Source organism: Homo sapiens, chromosome 4 (assembly GCF_000001405.40).
Source record: "Homo sapiens chromosome 4, GRCh38.p14 Primary Assembly".
NCBI lineage: Eukaryota > Metazoa > Chordata > Mammalia > Primates > Hominidae > Homo > Homo sapiens.
The window spans coordinates 127,809,034-127,830,894 of NC_000004.12; the positions used below are offsets into that span (position 1 = coordinate 127,809,034).

Genomic DNA, 21,861 nt, shown 5'->3' on the forward strand with positions numbered 1-21,861 from the left:
ACTAGAATGACTATTACTGGATTAATATGAAGGTGAGGGCGATTGGAAGGTGAGGCGGTCCCGGAGTTCTTGCATCCCAGGTGATTGTGAAGTGCTCACCATTTGCCACTGCACATAATTGAAACAAAATAGGAAAATTGCATCAAACTCTTCAGGACAAGGTTTTCAAAACAAGTTGCAATCTTGGCAGAACTGGACAAAGAGAAAAGAAGACTACTTATGCAGAACCAGTCTTCAACAAATCATCCTGGAGCTAGCATTGCACTCTCGAGACCCTGTCTTAATAAGGACTTCTGGGATCACGCTGAGCCGCAGTATATTGCAGCCCAGCAGAAGGCAGCTTTGCAGCATGCTCATGCACATTCATTTGGATACTTCATAACTCAAGACTCTGCATTTGGGAACCTGATTCTTCCTGTTTTACCTCGCCTTGACCCAGAATGAAGAAAATATTTGTGATGGAAAAGAGACTTTGTAATATCAAATGCCAAAGCTACTGTCATTCAGTGCTAGATGAACTGTGACTTTCAAAATTTTGGTGAACTTTGATATTTTTTGTTTGTTAAAGGAATGTGTAAGTGAAAGCAGAAAGAAGGGTAATCAGGATGATGAGAGCTGTGGAGGCTGTATCGTCCAAGGAATTGATTATGTACCGTAACTGTAACTTTTTTGTAATGCTGTTTAACAGTAATCAGACTCTGAACTGGATGGTCACAAAAACATTCCCCAACCCCTAGCAAGTTTGACTGAATATATCATGTCCACAGTAGATTTCCAAGAATCATTTATAGTACTTAACTTTAAAGAAACAAGAGTACTTTTAAAAAATGAACCAATAAGCTTAAATCTGTTACATCCATATTTGCTGTTTATAGGATTGGTGTCAGTGTACCTTTTGAGTTTACAGTCAACATGTATCATCCTAAAATATTATTTCTGAACTCATAACTACTTCCCCCTTTCTCACTTTAAAACAAACCCCAAGAATAAATTACTAACCAGTCTTAACCATCTTCTATAAACATATTCTTCTATAAACATCTTCTATAAACCATCTTCTATAAACATCATTATAAATGATGTGACTAAATGCAATTAAAAATAATAGAAAAAAAAGGAAAGTGAGAATAGGAGATTGTAATATCCATTTTAACTGAGTGAACTTTTCAGAAGATATAAAATGAAATTACAACATTTAAAAGGATTTTCAAATTTTAAATTTTTTTCTATGTACTGCTTTATAGACTAAGAAGGGGACAGCACAAATATTATAAATATTTCAAGGATATTATATAAAGCAGTAAAATTATTGAACATTATATTAGTTTGCTAGGGCTGCTATAACAAAGTACCACAAGCTAGGTGGCTTAAACGTTAGAAATTTGTTGTCTCATTTCTGGAGGTTAGAAGTCTGAAGTCAAGGTATCTCCAAATACAGTCACGTCTGAGCATGGTGGCTCATGCCTGTAATCCTAGCACTTTGGAAGGCTGAGGCAGGAGGATTGCTTGAGCCCAGGAGTTCAAGACCAGCCTGGGCAACATAGTGAGACCTAATCTGTACTAAAAATCAGAAAAATTAGCTAGACATGGTACCATGCACCTGTAGTCCCCGCTACTTGAACGCTGAGGTGGGAGGATTGCTTGAGCCTGGGAGTTTGAGGCTGCAGTGACCTATGATCCTGCCACTGCACTACAGCCTGGATAACAGAGTGAAACTGTGTCTCAAAACAAAACACACATAGTCATGTTCTGAGGTACTACGCACAGTGTGGGAGCAGGTGGGGGGCAAAATTTAACCCATAAAAAAGTCATCCAAGTTTTTTACTACCTGATTTTACTGCCTAATGTTCTCTCTTCTATAGATAATATATATATGAGATTTCTTTAGAGAAATAAAACATCAGTAGATTTCTTAAAGCATTGATAATGATCTCTGCAGGTATTTTGCTATAGGAAAAATAAAAATTGGAATTGCTTTATTTATGAATTACCAAGATGGTTATGATTTGTAAAGCTTATATCAAAAAAAATCTATTTTGTTTTCAAATTCAGAAAGTGAATCTTGTTATTTTGGTTTTAGAATAGCAGTATTATGAGATAACTTACTGCCTTTGAATCAAATTGTCCATGGTTAAATTCCCAGTGCTTTTTTTTTTTTTTCCTAGCATTGATGATTTTGAGCAGGTTACTTAAGCTTCCTGAGACTTAATAACAGGTTTGTTATGGTTTATAAAAGATAATCTGGGGGAAGTACCTGCCCCATAGTGATCAATCAGGATATGATCATAATTATTGCCAAGATGATTATTTGCCAACATCTTAAAGATGATAGCCAAATTATTCAATGAATTGAATAAGTTAATCTGAGGCTCACATACTGATTGGAGTTCTTTTTTCCTTAAGGGAGCTTCACTATTCAGAATGTTTTTCCACAGTCTGATGGTGATAGTTCCAAAGTGAAGGTTAAAGTTCGTGTTAACATCCATGGAATCTTCAGTGTGGCTAGCGCATCAGTAATTGAGAAGCAAAATTTGGAAGGCGATCACAGTGATGCTCCAATGGAGACAGAAACTTCATTTAAAAATGAAAACAAAGATAATATGGTATGTAGAAATTCTTTCTCAATGTTCTTGTAATAGATAGTGTATACAGTATATCTTAATCATAACTGGGACTTTAATAGTTGAATACATTACTCTCTGAGGTTTTGCTTTGATTTTCTGCTGTGGGAATCTGTATAAAGTCTTTTGATAAAAGCATTAAGGAATAATACTATTTTCAATGCTTTACATCTTTCACGTTGTCACATACTTTTTAAGAGTTTGGTGCATCTTTCATAGTATTACATGGAGCAGGTGAACCTGGAATTCTTTCCTAAGTTCTTAACTTCCATTAAAACATGTATTTTATTATGGCTAGATTTTTAGCTTACAGATAAAACCACTTCAGAATGATAAATTTTGAACTATACATTCTTTTTAGATTGAAAATACATGCTTAATAAATAATTTTTCAGGGTTTATTTGGGGGACATCTGAGACAGTTAAGCAGAGGAATGTGCTGTACATTCAGTAATGTTAAAGTACAGATTTTTGGCCGGGCGCAGTAGCTCACGCCTGTAATCGCAGCACTTTGGGAGGCCGAGGCGGGTGGATCACGAGGTCAGGAGATCGAGACCATCCTGGCTAACACAATGAAACCCCGTCTCCACTAAAAATACAAAAAATTAGCCGGGCGTGGTGGCAGGTACCTGTAGTCCCAGCTACTCAGGAGGCTGAGGCAGGAGAATGGCGTGAACCCGGGAGGCGGAGTTTGCAGTGAGCCGAGATCGCACCACTGCACTCCAGCCTGGGTGATAGAGCGAGACTCCATCTCAAAAAAAAAAAACAAAAAAAAAAACAGATTTTTTAACTTTATTAAAGAGTTATGTGACCTGAATTTACTGTGGGGATACTATAGATGAAGGAATCTTAGGAGAACTTTATCGTATTTAATTACACAACGTTTTCATCTTTTTATGTGTGCTCCTCATGAATTATTTGTGTGCATTATTTTTAATGGCATTAGATTTTTTGTCTAATTACAATTGGAAGTCTGCCCTAGATTTTTTGTTTGTTTGTTTTTGTTTTGTTTTGTTTTGTTTTTGTAGCCCAGAGGTCCTTTATTTTTTTTTTTTTTTAACACCTATGCCATGAATTCATAGGGAATAGGTTCCAGCAGCTCAGGCTCCTTCCCATTGGTTCTCACAAAGTGTGCTGCTCTGGGTGGAGCAGGCTGGCGCTTTAGTTGAACCCAGGTACCTTTCTCTTTGGCTTCTTTCTTTTTCTGATCATTTTCCTTCACACGTTTCAGGAAGCTATCTCGGCTCTTAGAGTGCTTAATGTGCTCAATACGCACATTAATTCTCTTGGCAAGAATCTTGCCCTTAACTTGTTTGTTTACAACAATGCCAACAGCATGCTGGGTAACATTGTAGACTCTTCCAGTTTTGCCATGGTAACACTTGTGGGGCATTCCTTTTTGAACAGTACCCGTTCCCTTGATGTCTACAATATCACCTTTCTTATAGATTCGCATATACGTGGCCAAAGGAATAACTCCATGTTTTCTAAAAGGCCTAGAGAACATATATCGGGTGCCTCTCCTCTTTCCCTTTGTGTTCGTCATTTTGGCGAATTACTGGAAGATGGCGGTTCCAGCCGAAAGGCGATTTTCTTTTATTCTATTTTAAGACAGTTTCTCCCTTTTTTTAAGGTTGCTTTTTGTTTTTATTAATAATTACTATGCATCTTTCTTCCAAATTGATCAGAATTCAACCACTAGACTTTAAACTACTTCATTTAAGGACTGTGGCTTTTTCTTTCAATCTTTCCATGTATCATTTTGTAATCGCTTTCTTATTTGAATTGAGGAAGAGGAAATGTCTTTATTTGTTAGTGAAGGTACAGTTTTTCATAAATTAACATAATAATTGGTGAAAAGTTAATATTTTAAATTATAATCCACAATAACTAAGATATGTAAATTTAATCCATTAAGATTTATTTTTACTGAAATTGAAAGTGCTTTGTATGCCTTCTAAGACCAGGTGTTTATAATCATTTATCTATTTTTTTGTTGTTGTTGTTTGAGACAGTCTCGCTCTGTTGCCCAGGCTGGAGTGCAGTGGCACAATCTCGGCCCACTACAACCTCTGCCTCCTGGGTTCAAGTGATTCTCCTGCCTCAGACTCCCAAGTAGCTGGGACTACAGGCATGTGCCACCACGCCCAGCTAATTTTTTTTGTATTTTTAGTGGAGACGGGGTTTCACTGTGTTAGCCGGGATGGTCTTGATCTCCTGACCTCCTGATCCATCCAACTCGGCCTCCCAAAGTGCTGGGATTACAGGTGTGAGCCACTGCGCCTGGCTCATTTATCTTTTTTTAAGTATTTCTGCTGAGACCTTTAATTTTCTTTATATAATATTAGTGAATCCTGGGAACTGAAAATACAACAAGAATATTATGGTACCCATCTTGTACTTCCCCTGGCAGTTCTTATTTGCTGCTTCTGTTTGTCTGTGAGCTGGAAATTCAGTTAACCAAGCTTTAAAGGATGATTTCTGTATGTGAACTAAGTGGGTTCACCTGTGAATAAAGTGCATGGATTTATGGCATCTGCTTTGGTTACTCAGAGACTTACCTGCTTATGATAGTTTTTGGCTTGCTAGAACATTTGCAGGCAGTTGAGGTTCCCATACAAGGAATTTCTAGATAGGTGATGTGTTCCTTAATATTTCTTTTACAATGTATGTAATCAAAAGAAAAAAGGTAGCTAACATTATGGATCATATACTTGGCATTGTTGGTGAGCACATTCATATATGTATTATCTTTTTTTTTAATTTTTTTTTGAGCCACCATGCCCAGCCTAAATCTTTTAAATCCCTACTACAGCTAATATAATAAATATTGAATAAATTGTAGTTTATTTCCTTTTCCTTGCTAATAAAAGCGATGATGCTGAATACACTGTGTTGAAAATATTCTGTGCACTTTTTACTTTTTTTTTTGAGACGGAGTCTCGCTCTGTCGCCCAGGCTGGAGTGCAGTGGCACAATCTCGGCTCGTTGCAACCTCCACCTCCCAGGTTCAAGCAGTTCTCCTGCCTCAGCCTTCTAGTAGCTGAGATTACAGGCATACGCCACCACGCCTGGCAGATTTTTGTATTTTTAGAAGAGATGGGATTTCACCATATTGGTCAGGCTGGTCTCAAACTCCTGACCTTGTGATCCACCAGCCTCTACCTCCCAAAGTGCTGGGATTACAGGCGTGAGCCACCGTGCCCGGCCTGTGCACTTTTTAATGGTTCTCTCTAGGATTTTTCTCTTTAATTCTGTATTTGGAAGTTTAAAGACTTAAATACCATTATAAAGTAGTCTCCCCTTCCCCTCAAAAAAGTGAACCAATTCAAAGACTCTGGAAGCTAATTGTTTAAATTTCAAGGGGTGGAATAATAAGATAATAAGTTCTTCTTTTTACTCTATCCTAGCTGATGGTATTGCTGGCTCTGAGGTAGATAAAGAGGCCCAGACATAAACCAGTGAACATCAGCAGGAGCCTTTTTTTTTTCTATGAGGGTCAGTTTATGAAAGACTATTTTGTATGTGTTATTTTCTAATTCAAAATTAAAATAGCATTGATTTTCCCGAAAAATCACAATAGAGCTTGCTGACTTCAATATAATGATATGTGAGAAAATTGACACCTCTCTTGTAGGTATAATTTAATACAGGGGCATATTAAGAAATTACCACATCAAGCCCTGAATACTTATTAAGAAATTACCACATCAGGCTCCGGGTACTTACTAAGAAATTACCATATCAAGCCCCGGGTACTTTGGTTTGTGCCTATAGTTACAGCTACTCAGGACGCTGGGGCTGGAGTTTGAGTCCAGCCTGGATAACATAGTCTGCAAAAAAAAAAAAAAATTATCACATCTTAAACTATATCACAAAACCCAGGGATCAAAGAAACTATATGCTATTCATCTTACTAATGTACCACAGTTTATTTCCCAATTGTTGACCATTTGGGTTCTTTATCTTTTTATTTACTTCTATTTATTTTTTTAATTCCACATATTTGCTTATGTGTAGCCAGGACTCTTCTATGCACTAGGGATACAGTGATTAAACAAGATTGAAAAGGTTGCCACCCATCTATAACTTACAGTCTAGTGGGAGAGGACAGGCATGAAGCAAAAAGATAGCATATAAATATAAAGGAAGTTAATGGGGATGCATAGTGGGAATTATGTGATAGTGATGAGGAAACCACTTAGGAAGGAACAGGTAAGCTAGTCTGAAAGATGCAAAAGGCAGCTTAAGGGTAAGGAGTAGATAGGTAGTTGTCCAGGCAGAGTGAATAACAAATAGAAAGGCACTGAGACAGGAAGGCCTTCTTTTTCGTTGTTGTAACAAATAGAAGAGTGGTTGGTGTATAGGATATAGGTGTGGAGAATGGGGGAATAGCAGGAAAAAAAATGAAATTGAGAGGGTAAATCAAGCGACAAATCGGGTAAAACCTTAAAGTTCATGGTAGTATCTAGATTTGTTTCTTAAGTGCTTTATGTTTATTTAGCAAATAGCTATGAGTACCTAAAATGTGTGCTTGGTCATAGCAGCAAACAGAAAGATGGTTTCAACTCCCATGGAGTTTAAAATCTATCAGTGAAGTCAGAGTCTAGAGGCACTTCCATTAATTATCCCACTATTGATAATATTTCTATAAACATCTTAAAATCATTTTAAAGAATTAACAGTTTATTACCATTTCATATCCATTTTAAGATGTGTAATTTTCTGCTTTTAAATGTATCTTAGTCTTGCAAATGATAACATCTTATATTTGCTGTTGATCATGGCAATAGTCATGAGATACTTCTCATCACCTGTGCATCTGTGAACTCGGTTGTAATTCCTAGTGGCATGACTAGATAGTTGGCAACCTCTTGACATTTTAGTGAACAAACCATTTAAGGAGCATTCAAGGAAGGAATACGAGTCCTGGTTGGTTGAAAACAGGTTGTGATAAAGATACAGTCATAAGTCTTGTAGAATAGGTGTTAGTGGCTTGTAAGAAAACACTAGAGGCTATATTAGAGCAACTTTTAAACAAATGCTGGGTCATTTATACTCCTGATGACACACAGAGTGATATTGTATAGAAATATACATTAACAACTGGATTAAGTGATTCAGAAGAGTTGGATTCTGAATGTGAAGAAATTTTAGAAATAACTACTTAATCTGGTTTATTTTCCTTTTCTCTGTGAAAGATATAAATATATAAACAATAGAAGAGCTCTTTCAATAAATATAAAAATTCTAAGTGATAAGGCATTGTGACCATTTAGCATTTTTTTCTGAGTAATACAAAAATTAGAGTTAATAACTCAACACTTTATCACTTTTTTCACCTATCTTACCTATCAACAGGGTTGGGGAGGTTGTAAGGTAGGGCAGGGGAGTTGAAATATCAAAAATAATTGATTTTTTTTTAATTTGAGACAGAGTCTTGCTCTGTCATCCAGTTTGGAGTGCAGTGGCACGATCTCAGCTCACTGCAACCTCCGCCTCCCGGGTTCAAGCAGTTCTCCGGCCTCAGCCTCCTGAGTAGCTAGGATTACAGGCGTGCACCACCATGCCTGGCTAATTTTTGTATTTTTAGTAGAGACAGGGTTTCACCGTGTTGGTCAGGCTGGTCTTGAACTCCTGACCTAGTGATCTGCCTGCCTTGGCCTCCCGAAGAATAATTGATCTTTTAACTACAAAAAAAAAAAATTAGCTCCTCTTTGGCAGAAATAAGCTTTTATTCAAGATAGCTTTCTGGGTATTACAGATTTGCTTAATTCTAGATGTAGTTGAAGACCTAACTTATGCTGATTCCTACATTTCAAGCTTTCTTCAGGAGGATGGTGACAGGATTAAGAAGGTGACCAAAAAAATCTATTATATATATGGGATTATTTGCCAAGTGGAGAGTTCATTTTGGAGATTTTATTGGTAGAAAGTTTGGTTTTTAGACATAAAAAAATCTTAAAAGTGTACCTTTTAATAATTTAGAAACACCCACTTTGAGTTTTGATTAATTTGATTAATTTTGATTAATTTATATCAAAACTCAAAGTGCATATTTCTAATTATTTTACATTTTACAATTTAAAGATATAGTATTGTATTTGTGTAATTCATAGATTTTGTATCTTTTTCATTTTATTTTCTTGTGTTATTTATAAACATCTTTCATATCAAGTTGAATGTTCTCTATTTTATTTATTTTTATTATACTTTAAGTTCTGGGATATATGTGCAGAACATGCAAGTTTGTTACATAGGTATACATGTGCCATGGTGGTTTGCTGCACCCATCAACCCGTCATCTACATTAGGTATTTCTCGTAATGCTATCCCTCCCCTAGCCCCCCACCCTTGAATGTTCTCTTTTTTTGTAAGCTTTTGTGAATCTTGATTTGTAAATTTGGCTTGAGAACAATTTTCCACGTATTTTGCAATTACTTAGCCATAGATAAACAAGATTTATCCCATAGCATCAAATAGATCTTTTCACTTTACTTCCCTGTTAATCTGTTTATTTGTAGCAATTCTCATTTGAAAAATGAGCTTCTACTTAACTGTTTCTACATTTTACATTTCAAAACAGGCTTGAACTCTTAAGATGCAGTTTACATTTTTAAAACAAAAAAAAGACACTGCGTATATTATCAATTATGTATTTTCTTTCTAGGATAAAATGCAGGTTGATCAAGAAGAAGGGCATCAAAAATGTCATGCTGAACACACTCCAGAAGAGGAAATTGATCATACAGGAGCCAAAACAAAGGTTTGGTTTACTTTTTCTGTAGTTATGTCTTTTTGAAATTGATATTTTGAATTATTGTATTTAATGCTTTCTTTTAACGCACTTGATATTTTTGATCTTAGAATTGTGAGAGAATATAGAAAGCTGATAGCCAGAATAAATATACTTTAATGATTTATTAAGAGTTGTGTTTTTTAAAAAGGAACCCTAACAACATGAGCAAAATTACCTTTTTTGGTAGGAAAAAAGATACATTTTTCATTAACTTTTTTTTTCATCTCATGAGAACACACGGACACATAGAGGGGAACAACAAACATTGACGCTTACTGGAAGGTGGAGGGTGGAGGAGGGAGGGAGATGATCCCTCCCCTTAATGGGTACTAGGCTTAATACCTGGGTGATGAAATAATCTGTACAACAGACCCCTGTGACATGAGTGTACCTATATAACCTGCACATGTGCCCTTGAACTTAAAAGTTTAAAAAAAAAAAAAGGAAATTTTATCAAAGAACCCAACAATAAAATTGCCTGAATTCTTTACCTTATTTCCTTAATTCATTATTTCTCATGTTTCACCAATAACTGCATTGTATTTCTAAAGTATGAATACATAAGTTAAAATCTTAACTTTAAGTGAAAAAAATCATTTCAGAAAAATATGAGATGGAACAAGCTATATGAGGAAAACATGTTAGCTGTACTCTATATCTCAGAATTAACCACTCTAATTATTTTGTTGCATATCATAAAATATTTTTCTATGTGTAAAAATTAATACTTTCAAAAATAAAATGTTAAAGGATAAATGATTTATTGAGAGTAATTATTTTTCTAAGATAGTGATTGCCAATAAGACAGAAGGGAGAGGCCCTGCCCCAGTCACCCAGATGAATGTGGTTATAACTCTTAAAGCTATCATCTTCAACAGATTTTTCTAACCTGCATAGATTAAATTCTATGCAGGTTAGCCAAATAGATTCATTTCTCAGAGATTGTAAAGATTTAGTTTTAAATTGTAGATTCTAAAGTTATTTAAAACCTGGAAACTTTTTTTCTGACTTTTTCAAAATTTTAATTGTTGAACAGCTTTATTGAGATATAGTTTACATGTCATTCAAATCATCCAATTAGTTGTACAGTTTTTAGTATATTCAGTTGTGCAACCATCATCACAATTTTAGAATATTTTCATCATCCCAAAGAGAAGCCTTGTTATCTATTAGCGGTGACTTCCCATTTCCCTTCAGCCCTCTCCCTGCCAGCCACAGGGAACAGGCAATAGATTTGCCTATTGTGAACATTTCATATACGTACAGTTATACAGTATGTACTTATTTGTGACTGGCTTTCACCAAACATAATGTTTTCAAGGTTCATCCAGGTTGTAGAATATATCAGTATTCCTTTTTATGGCCGAATAATACGGCATTGTATGAATACATACCACATTTTATTTATCCATCTATCAGTTGATAGACATTTGGGTTATTTTCACTTTTTTACTCTTATGATTGTTATGAACAATCATGTATAAGTTTTGCGGGGGTGTGTATTTTCATTTTTCTTGGGCATATACCTAGGAATGGAATTGCTGGGTCATAATTGTTTAACATTTTTGTTAACATTGTTTTGTTAAGATTGTCATCTTGAACATTTTGAGGAACTTCCCAACTGTTTTCCAGAATGGCTGCAACATTTTACAATCCTGCAAACAATGTATGAGGGGTTGCAGTTTCCCCACATCCTCAACTAACACTTATTATTTTATATTTTTTAATTGTAGCCACTGTAATGGGTGAGAAGTAGCTACTCGTCTTACTTTTGCTTTTCATTTCCAACCCAATATTTTTAATATAGAAACTAGGATTTAACATACACAGACTACAAAATAACATCAGTCTTAAGGTAGTACTTTAAAATAAATATAACAGATCATAATCGTTTTGATTTTACTTTCTGTTTTACCTCTTAAATCTATTTTTAAGCTAATTTTAGAAATTTATACTTCTCTTTCGGATTTGCAGTCAGCTGTCTCAGACAAACAAGACCGATTAAATCAGACACTTAAAAAAGGAAAAGTCAAAAGTATTGATCTACCGATCCAGAGTAGCCTATGTAGACAACTAGGCCAAGATCTTCTCAACAGCTACATTGAAAATGAGGTATGTAAATCTGAGTTGATGCTGAAATAGGTGGTAGTTTATTCTGAAATTTTGTAGAAGTCAATGATTATCTCCAAAATTTAGGGCACTAGTTTATAACTCCTAAGGAATTATATTAAGTAGATTACTAAACTATTTTTTACAAAATACTGAGCTGTTTTAATGCCATATGTACTGTGTAGCTATCATCTTAGTTGTGTGAAAAACATGTATTGCCTCCTCTATAGAGAAAGACTTTTCTGAAATTGATTCTTCCTTTTATTCTGTCTTTAACAATGACACCCAGCAGACCACATATGGGGAAATATTAGCTGCTCCCCTCTTCTCCTGTGTTGTCCTTAAAGATTATATCTCTGTTCAAAATGTTTTCTGACATCCATTAAATATTTTTTTAAAAAATCTTTGTCATTCTTGACATTTTCTTACATGTTCTTTTCTATTTACATGTTTAAGTTACAGTCTCTAGAGGAAACGAGTTTTGTTTCTTTACCAGTATCTGTTTAAGAAGTAATTTATATTTTATAAGTTTACATTTAAGTGGTAGTTCCTAATTTTTACAAGCTCAGCTGGCATTAAAAGGTCAGTCTTCTGACTTTACAATGCTTGCTTTTGTAGTACCTACCTATATCATCTATTCATTAATAATTGTTAAAGGCTGCATTTTATGTGAAGCAAGCATTCCTGGAGATCCTGAATAATTTGGAATTTGTGTGTCTTGAGAAAAATTTTCCCAAAGGAATGAATTGTAGGGAAGCACAGTTTTGGGAAATTTTGTATATAAAATGAGATTTTCTTAACTTTTGAATGTCTCATTATTTTCACTTCACAAATGTGAATGCATTGTAATTTATAAAGGGATTCTTAACGTTTACATGTGTTTTTATTAAAGTGAAAATTTTGCTCAAGTATTATAATCTTCAGGTTATTTCTTTGCTTTTGTTCATCATAAACTAACATCTATAAATACTTTTTATTTTTACCCTCAAACCTATGAAGTGTAGGTTCTGTTAGAGAACTACATTTCACAGGTGAGGAAACTGAGACACAAGTAGACTAAATTACCCAGGATCAGAGAATACCCTTTGGATTTGGATCCAGGTGATTGTTCTCCAAAGCTCAGTATCACAACCACTATACCATATCCACCCCCGCAAGGCTTTTATTCATTACCAGTTATGTGTCAAACATGGAACTAAATATTTTACATGAATTATCTCAACCTTATTAGCAGCCCTATGAGTTAGATGGAATTATGCTCTCTGTTTAGGATAAGAAAACTTATGTTTAGATGATTTTCCTGCTATCTCAAGATAGTAAATAGGGAACCTAGGATTTTAATCTGAGTATGTAGAATGACATAGGCTATGTTTTCTTTTGTTTTTTAACAGCTTTATTGAGATAAATTTACATATCATAATTAACCCATTTAAAGTATCCAGTGGTTTTCGGTATACTACGTTAATTTTTTTACATGAAATTTGCTATTATAACCATTTTTAAGTGTATAATTCAATGGCTTTAATTACATTCACCATACTGTGCATCCATCACCACTGTCTATTTTCAAAACAATTCCATCACCCCAAACGTTAACTCTATAATAACTTATTTTCCTCCCTTCTCCCAGTTCCCTACTTTCTGTCTTTGCGAACTGCCTAGTTATCAATAGATAAGAATCATGTTAAGTGGGATTATACAATGCTTGTCCTTTTGTGTCTGGCTTATTTTACTTGGCATAATGACTTCAAGATTCCTTGTTTCAGCACGTATCATAACTTCATTTCTTCTTAAAATGAAGTAAAATACTACATTGTGTTTATATACTTTTTTTATTTGTTCATCTTTTAGTGCACATTTGGGTTGTTTCTACTTTTTGGCTATTGTGAATAATGCTGCAGTGAACACTGACATACAAATATCTGTTCAAGTCTCTGCTTTCAATTTTTTGTGGGTGTATCTAGGAGTGAAATTGAAATTCTGTGCTTAGCATTTTGAGGGACAGCCAAAACGTTTTCCATGGTGGCTGCAGCATTTTACATTCCTCTCAGCAATGTACAAGGGTTTCACTTTCTCCACATCCTCATGAATACTTATTTTTTGTATTGTAATCATCCTAGTGAGTGTGAAGTGGTATCTTGTGGTTTTGATTTCTATTTCCCTAATGCATATTCTTATGGCAACTAATCTGAAGCTTTTTGAATAGGGGAAGATGATCATGCAAGATAAGTTAGAGAAAGAAAGAAATGATGCTAAGAATGCCGTTGAAGAATATGTATATGATTTTAGAGACAGGCTGGGCACTGTCTATGAAAAATTCATCACTCCAGAAGTAAGTCTAAATTCTGTTAATTTTTTGTGAGGACTATTTAAAGGTTTACTCGAGAATGCTAGTACAAATTACATAAATAAATGTACCAAATGTTGTTATTGTTGCCAATCTTGGGCCCATATGGGGAAGGTTCTTATTTTTACAAGTTGCAGAAGTATGGTGAAAAACATATTTTTGAATAAGAAGTTAGAAAATTTTGAAATTTAATATTTTATACTTGAAAAACATTCTGTCCTTCCATGATTTTTAATTTTTTTTTTATTTATTTATTTGAGACAGCATCTAGCTCTGTCGCCCAGGCTGGAGTGCAGTGGCACGATTTCAGCTCACTGCAACTTCTACTTCCCGGGCTCAAGCAGTCCTCTCACCTCACCCTCATAAGTAGATGGGAATACAGGCACATGCCATCATGCCTGGCTAATTTTTTAATTTGTTGTAGAAATATGATTTTGCCATATTGCCCAGGCTGGTCTCTTAGTTCTGGGCTCAAGCGATCCTCCCACCTTGGCCTTTCAAAGTGTTGGGATTACAGGCATGAGGCACTGCACTGCACTGAGCCCAATGATGACTTTTATTTCTAAGGAAAGTATTTTTAATTAGTGTCTCTCAAATATATTACTAGGACTTGAGTAAACTGTCTGCAGTATTGGAAGACACAGAAAATTGGCTTTATGAAGACGGAGAGGACCAACCTAAACAAGTTTATGTGGATAAGCTTCAAGAACTAAAGGTACATTTTTTTAAAGTCCATGTTAGTATAAACCAGTAACTTTTTCTAAAAATTAGGGTGTAAGAGCACAGTTTATGTTCTATTAATTTTTAATTTTTTAATTGAGAGGAAAATTGTATATATTTGTGGTGTACGACATGTTTTGATTATGCACACATTGTGGAATGGCTAAGTCAAACTATTTAACAAATGCATTACCTCACATACATTTCTTTCTTTGGGGGGGAGAACACTTAAAATCTACTCTCTCAACCAATTTTCAAATATACAGTATATTGTTAAGTATATATGGTAACTGTGGTTACCATGATGTACAATAGATCTCTTGGACTTACTCCTCTTGTCTAATTCAAATGTTGTGTCCTTTGACCAGTAGCTCTCCATCATACCATCCCCTGATAACCACCAATTCTACTATCTGATTCTAAGAGCTTACCTTTTTTAGATTCAACCTTTGAGATCATGCAGTATTTGTCTTTTTGTGCCTGGCTTATTTCACTTAGCATAATGTCCTCCAGGTTCATCTAAGTTGTCTCAAATGACAGGATTTACTTCTTTTTAAGGCTGAATAGTATTCCGTTGTATATGCATACCACGTTTTCTTTATCCATCATTTCACTGATGGACACTTAGATTGAGTCTCTATTTTGGCTATTGTGAATAATGCTGCAGTGAACATGGAGTTTAGATATCTCTTTGGCATAGTGATTTTATTTTCTTTGGATAGATACACAGTAGTGAGATTGCTGGATCTGTATGTTTTTAGTAAGTATGTGAAAAATTACTAAATCAGAAATGTATAAGAGGAAATGTTCTAATTTTAAAAGCATTTTGAGAAGCCAGCAATGCTATATAATTGAAATCAGATATTGTATAGTCATAATGTTGAAATATAAATGTTTATAGATGATCAGAGTGTTACTTTTGCACAAGCTATATATTACTGGCATGTCTTTAAGAAGTGATAAGTATATCATCTTGACCATTAAAGGAGTCACCCTCTTCTCCTGCTCCTCTGACTGTTAACTGTCTGATGTTAGGGAGTAATACCACACTGGTCTGTTGTATTTTCAGTGTCACTGCTCTTGAATTTTAACGTCCTTTCACAAATCAAGAGACTTGGCCACAAAATCTCCTTTTTTAGGTCAGTGGTGTTATTTTAGGGAAAGACCTTCCATACTTGCTACCAAATCTGGAAAAAGTACCTTAAAAGATTAAAAGTTTATATTGGGCTGGGCGCAGTGGCTCACGCCTCTAATCCCGGCACTTTGGGAGGCCGAGGCGGGCGGATCACAAAGTCAGGAGATTGAGACCATCCTGGCTAACATGGTGAAACCCTGTCTCTACTAAAAAAAAATACAAAAAATTAGCTGAGCGTGGTGGCGGGCACCTGTAGTCCCAGCTACTCTGGAGGCTGAGGCAGGAGAATGGCGTGAACCCAGGAGGTGGAACTTGCAGTGAGCTGAGATTGCGCCACTGCACTCCAGCCTGGGCGACAGAATGAGACTCCATCTCAAAAAAAAAAAAACACGTTTATATTGGAAGGATGAAGGAAATTTTCAGTCATTCCTTCTTAGTATGGATCATAGCAGTTCTTTAATGTGCATATGAATTACCTGGGTGCTTATTGAAATGGAAATTTTGATTCAGTAGATACAAGGTGGGCCCACTTTTAACAAACTTCCAAGTGATGCTGATGATGCTGGTCCCTGAACTATTCTTTGAGTAGCAAGGGATTATATAGATGCTAAATGATGACATTAACAAGGATTTTTAGAATATGGGGAAAGATGGCCCTTTACAACTTGGGACAGGCATGAGGTGGGGGAAGGTGTGCAAAAGAAGTTACTCAACTTAAAAGTAAAAGAAGTTAATACTGTGCAAAAAATTACCTTCATGCCAACAAATACTTCCAAAGGAAATAATTAGAAAACCTAAGTTTATGATAGCAAAACTAGGCTTTACCATGTCTTCTTGGTAGTTTTTAATCCCTGTCTCCCTAAAAGAAACACAAGCCAGCCAGGTGCAGTAGCTCATACCTGTAATCCCAGTGGCCCAAAGTGGCAGAGGCAGGTGTATCACCTGAGGTCAGGAGTTCCAGACCAGCCTGGCTAACATGGTGAAATCCCATTTCTACTAAAATTACAAAAAATTAGCCGGGCATGGTGGCACGCACCTGTAATCCCAGCTACTCAGGAGACTGAGGCAGGAGAATCGCTTGAACCCAGGAGGTGGAGGTTGCAGTGAGTTGAGATTGCGTCATTGCACTCCAGCTTGGGCAACAAGAGCAAAACTCCATCTCAAAAAAAAAAAAAAAAAAGAAAAAAGAAACATAAGCCAAGCAGCTGAGGCCAGTAGAAATAACTGGAAATCCCAGCAGTTCCTATTATGGATTCTTCTGCTTCAAATATGTAAGTAGCCATAGAAATGAATGTTAGAGAAGTTTTCACAAGTTTTACTTTTTCTGTTTTTGAGATGGCATTTAAAAATTTAAAATGGTGGCTAGGAGCAGTGAATCACACCTGTAATGTTGGCACTTTGAGTGGCCAAGGCAGGAGAATCACTTGAAGCCAGGAGTTCAAGACCAGCCTTGAGCAACAAAGCAAGACCCCATCTCTACAAAAAAATAAATTAGCCAGGCACAGTGGTATGTGCCTGTAGTTCCAGGTTGGGAGGCTGAGGCAGAAGGATCACTTGAGCCCAGGAATTTGAGGCTGCAGTAAGCTGTCGCCATTGCACTCCAGCCTAGGTGACAGAGCAAGACCCTGTCCCAATGGAAAAAAAAAATGCAGTACTTGCTTCCCTTTCAAAAACATTTAAACTATAAAAAGTATGACGTGAATAGACCAAATGTAGTAATGGTATCCTGGAACAGATGATAATGAACTCTGAATAAAGACTGTAGTCCAGTTAATAGTAATGCTCCAGTGGTAGTTTCTTAGTTTTGACAAATGTACCCTAAGATGCTAACATTAGAGAAAAGCATAGAGAAGCGTCTGGTGCTTGCTCTCTGTATAATTTCCTTTTAACTTTTCTGTAAATCTAAAACTGTTCTAAAATAAGCCGATTTTTATTTAAGTATATAAAGAATTTAAAAGAAAATATTTTATCCTTCTAATGTGCTCCCCTTCCCAAAACTACAGAGTCTGTTTTAACATTTAGAAACTCCTTAATCCAAGACATGTAGGGGAAAAACCTACATATACTACAGTACACATTTTACTGATTAAATGTATAAATAATATTTAGTTGATAATAATTATCAGTCCCAGTAATTATGTTGTACATAGAGGGTTATATTATGATTTTGAGTATTTGATACCAAGTTTCAAATCTACAAATTCTGCATGCAGTATAGTTTTTACAGTTTTCTTATTTTAATAGTTCTATAAAGTTTTAACACCCAGCTTTTAAGGAATTAAAGTTTTGATTGAGACATTGGATTTGAGAAGCTAAGAAGTAATCTTAATGAGTGAGAAAAAGATAAGGTGTGTGGAAGGCATCCTTGTGTAGGATTGAGGAAGTAGCTACTGTAACTTGCTTCCATACAGGAAAATAAGAGGGGATATATTTTTATCTGTCCATCTTTTCTTCCTATTTATCATCCTATAAGGGCCCTATAAAAGTTTTCTGTTAAAACTCAAAAATTTTTCTTCTTTAAAAATTTCTTATGTTAACAGAAATACGGCCAGCCTATTCAAATGAAGTACATGGAGCATGAAGAGAGACCAAAAGCCTTAAATGACTTGGGAAAAAAGATCCAACTTGTCATGAAAGTGATAGAAGCTTATAGAAACAAGGTATTGAATTCATAAAGCCAATTGGTGACGATGGCATGTGCATGGTACATAGAATGGGGCAAATCTAAAAGTTCTCAGCTACAAAGCTATAGCAGTTGTATCTATCAAATTCCAGAGACTTTGTGTACCAAACTTAAAACTTTTTTTTTTATTGGAGAATTTCACTTAAGGATTCTGATACATTTGAAATACAGTAAAGGTATGTAGCTTTCATCTTTTAGAATTTCCTGAAACTACATTATAAAATAACCCAGTGACCAAATCCATTGTTTTCTTCCTAGAGATTTCATTTTTATGTTTTTCATATAGTGAAAAAGAGGACCTCTTTGACTTTTTTTAAATTATGGGCCTCTTTGAGACTGGACTCTGCTAGCCTTTATTTTGTTTCTTGGCTTATTTTTCTTTTAGTTGCTTTTTGTCCTCCAGTCCATTAGTCATCCATAATCTCCTGTACGCTTTATTCTTTTATGTACATATTCAAATCTATATAACCTTAATCTTTCCACTGTCAAATATGTAGTTATACAGATGATACTTCCATTTAGATATAACCGTAAAATTTGAGAAAATTAAGCTTATTGTTTTGTTTCCTCTAAATCAGTAGTTATCAGACTTTTTTTAAGACAAACAATATTTTAGGCTTTGTAGTTTTTACTGTGTCTGTACAGCTATTCTTATCTGCCACTGTAGCACAAAAGTACCATAGACAATACACAAACTAATGGACATGGCTGTGTTCCCAAAAACTTTATTTAAAAAATCATAAGCAGTGGCTGGATTTAGCCGATGGGACAAGTTTTTTAATCCCTACTCTAAGTAAATATTCTCTGTAATCCCTAGTTTTTGTCATTGATGTTAAACATGCATTAGTAGGAAGAAGAGACCAGCACCAGAAATATTCAAGCATGTCAAAATAGCTTACATTTATTGTGCACATCATGAATTTTAAGTACTTTATGTGGATTATCTCACCAGGATATATCCTATACAAAGTTAATGCTATTATCTTTATTTTACAATTAAGAAAACGGAAATACTTAAGCAACTTATTGAGGTTTACCCAAGTAGTTAATGATGGAATCAACATTCAAACCTAACCAGTCTGACATCAATATACAAATTCCCAGCAACTATACTGCTTTCCACTACACAAAATTGAGAAGAATTACTTATTTTAGAAATAAGAGATTTTTTAGTTTTGTGAAACAAAAACTGCAGTTCAGAAAACCTAAAGGAAAAATTCAGATATTGATTGTAAATATGCCTGCTAATATCAGTGTTCAAATTGTTCTTATAGGCACAGATAGAATGTTGTAAGGATAATGAAAAAGTAAGAAGGAAGAAACAACCCAATGAAAACACCAAGAATATTTTAAATCTGGTATAATTACTAGTGTCACAGTGCTCCCCAGGCTTTAGCTATCTTCTTCAATATGCACATTTAAGATATTATCCCACACAAGGCAAGACTTCACTTTTGCTCAAACATTTGAGTTTTTATTATGTGCTAGGCTATTTTCTAGATGACTGAACTATATTGTCAAACAAAACATTGAACTTGTTTTTAATATGCTTCAATAGTGAAAGGTGGACAATAAATTACTGTAAGTTATGTCAGATAGTAATAAAAAGCTGCAGAAAAAGTAAAGGACTGCCAGGGTTGGAAGAGGTTTGTCAGAAAGGTGTACTAATAAGGTGATACACATGTTAGGAGAGAAATGAAGAAGTGAAAACTCAAAGATGTGTGATAACTGGAAGAGAAATGCTCTAGACAAAGAATAGCAGTTGCAAAACACCAAGGGGAGAACATGTTAGAGGAACAGCAAGGTCACTGTGGTTGAAAATAGGGGTAAGTGTAGCAGTTGAGAGATCATAAATGGGTCTAGTTGGCCCTTGTAAAAGTTTGGGTTTTACTCTGAGATAGGAAGCTGTTGGAGGTTTTTGAGCACAGGAGTAATAACATTTGGCTTTTTTTTTTAAGGATCTGGAGGCAGAGAGATGGAATAAGACATTATTAGAATAATACAGCAAGAAATGATGGAGGCTTGAACCCAGATGGTAGGGTTGGGGAGCCAAGAATTGGTTAGATTTTTGCATTTATTTTGAAGGTAGACGCTTTTAAGATTTCCTGATAGATTTGATGTAAATCTATCACAAAGAAGCTGAAAATTACTCCAAGGATTTTGACCCGAAAGAATGAAGTTTCCATTTGCTGAGATGAGGAAAACTGGGAAGAGTAGGTGGGGACATAATCAGGTGTTTGAAACATAAGCATTTCAAACTTTACAAATAGAAACTCAAAGTTGGATATAGAGTTGAGAGTTAAGGGAAGAGGTTCAGGCTAGAGATTTTTTTTTTTTTAAAGCATATGGGTAGAGAGATGAATGAGGATGAACTGGCAAAAGAAACTTAAAAAGTGATCCATGACATAGGAAGAAATTCAAGAAAATGTGGCGACCTAGAAACTGAGTCAGATGATTGATGCATAATTTGTAATAAAAGCAGAAGGAGGATTTGGGTATCCGAGGAAGCTTTATGGGTTTTCCATTTGTTTGTTTGGGGTTTTTTTTCTTCATATATATAGCTTTATGGTTTTAAAAATGGCATCACCATCCTCCCACTTCTTTGACTTTGGAGTGTTCTTACATTCTCTTTCCCTTTATCTTCTGTGTCCAAACTAATCCATCAGGAGATTCTCTTTCTATATGTTCATTGCCATTTCTTTGTGATTCTGTCACTACTAATCTAAACCATGACTACTTGGTTGTGTATTACATGTGACAGCTGCAGTTTCTCTTCTTCAGAAAGAATTTTGTCATTTTTCTAATCAAGAATTTAATATGCTTTTCTGTTATATATTCATAATTTTGTGTCTAGTTTGCTATATGCCTTGTTCACCTTATTTCTCCTTTACAAATTCCATTTCCTTGCAACTTCTTCCTTGGCTAAGTGCTTTCTCCATGAGTATTCCTTAGTAGTCATTCTTTCCCAAACCTGATTTCTTCAGAGAGCCTTTCCTTTTTAAACTCACACTGATCTTATCTTTTATCCCATTCTCTTCAGTTCTGTGTTATTCGTATGGGGTTTCTTCAGATGAGTACATTTGAGATATACAGTCAATAAGAGTCTAAATTTTTAAAGTAGAAATTACTAATAAACTGGTGCTAGCTGAAAAATCATTAACATGCAGTCAAGCTTTTTTTTTTTAAATAGGATGAAAGATATGATCATCTGGATCCTACTGAAATGGAAAAGGTTGAAAAATGTATCAGTGATGCCATGAGTTGGCTGAATAGTAAGATGAATGCACAGAACAAACTAAGTCTCACTCAAGATCCTGTGGTAAAAGTTTCAGAAATAGTAGCAAAGTCAAAGGTAAGAAGTTTATGAAATTGCCTTTTTAATGGTTTCAAGTATTAAAATTTTTAATGAGAGTCATACTTTGGCAAATAATCAACTTGCAGAAGAAC

At 35.1% G+C, this 21,861-nt stretch overlaps 2 protein-coding genes and 1 pseudogene across 6 annotated transcripts in view; 2 read left to right on the forward strand and 1 right to left on the reverse strand.

The window, feature by feature from the left end:
- HSPA4L (heat shock protein family A (Hsp70) member 4 like) overlaps window positions 1–21,861 on the forward strand; it is a 58,938-nt gene that overhangs the window by 27,238 nt on the left and 9,839 nt on the right. For 4 of the 5 annotated variants that reach the window (NM_001317381.2, NM_014278.4, NM_001317383.2 and 1 more), the window contains 7 exons: window positions 2,404–2,603; window positions 9,292–9,387; window positions 11,395–11,532; window positions 13,736–13,861; window positions 14,484–14,591; window positions 18,272–18,391; window positions 21,605–21,766. In NM_001317381.2, coding sequence (NP_001304310.1) covers window positions 2,404–2,603; window positions 9,292–9,387; window positions 11,395–11,532; window positions 13,736–13,861; window positions 14,484–14,591; window positions 18,272–18,391; window positions 21,605–21,766 — 950 coding nt within the window. Of the gene's footprint in view, window positions 1–5; window positions 2,605–9,291; window positions 9,388–11,394; window positions 11,533–13,735; window positions 13,862–14,483; window positions 14,592–18,271; window positions 18,392–21,604; window positions 21,767–21,861 lie in introns of those variants that run through there. The other variant, XM_011531745.4, reaches the window with a different exon arrangement.
- On the forward strand, window positions 220–1,990 carry LOC112268470 (SOSS complex subunit C-like). Its single transcript, XM_047416529.1, has one exon. It carries the CDS (start codon window positions 220–222, stop codon window positions 442–444), a length of 225 nt encoding a protein of 74 aa, XP_047272485.1. The 3' UTR covers window positions 445–1,990.
- Window positions 3,641–4,207, reverse strand: RPL21P53 (ribosomal protein L21 pseudogene 53; annotated as a pseudogene).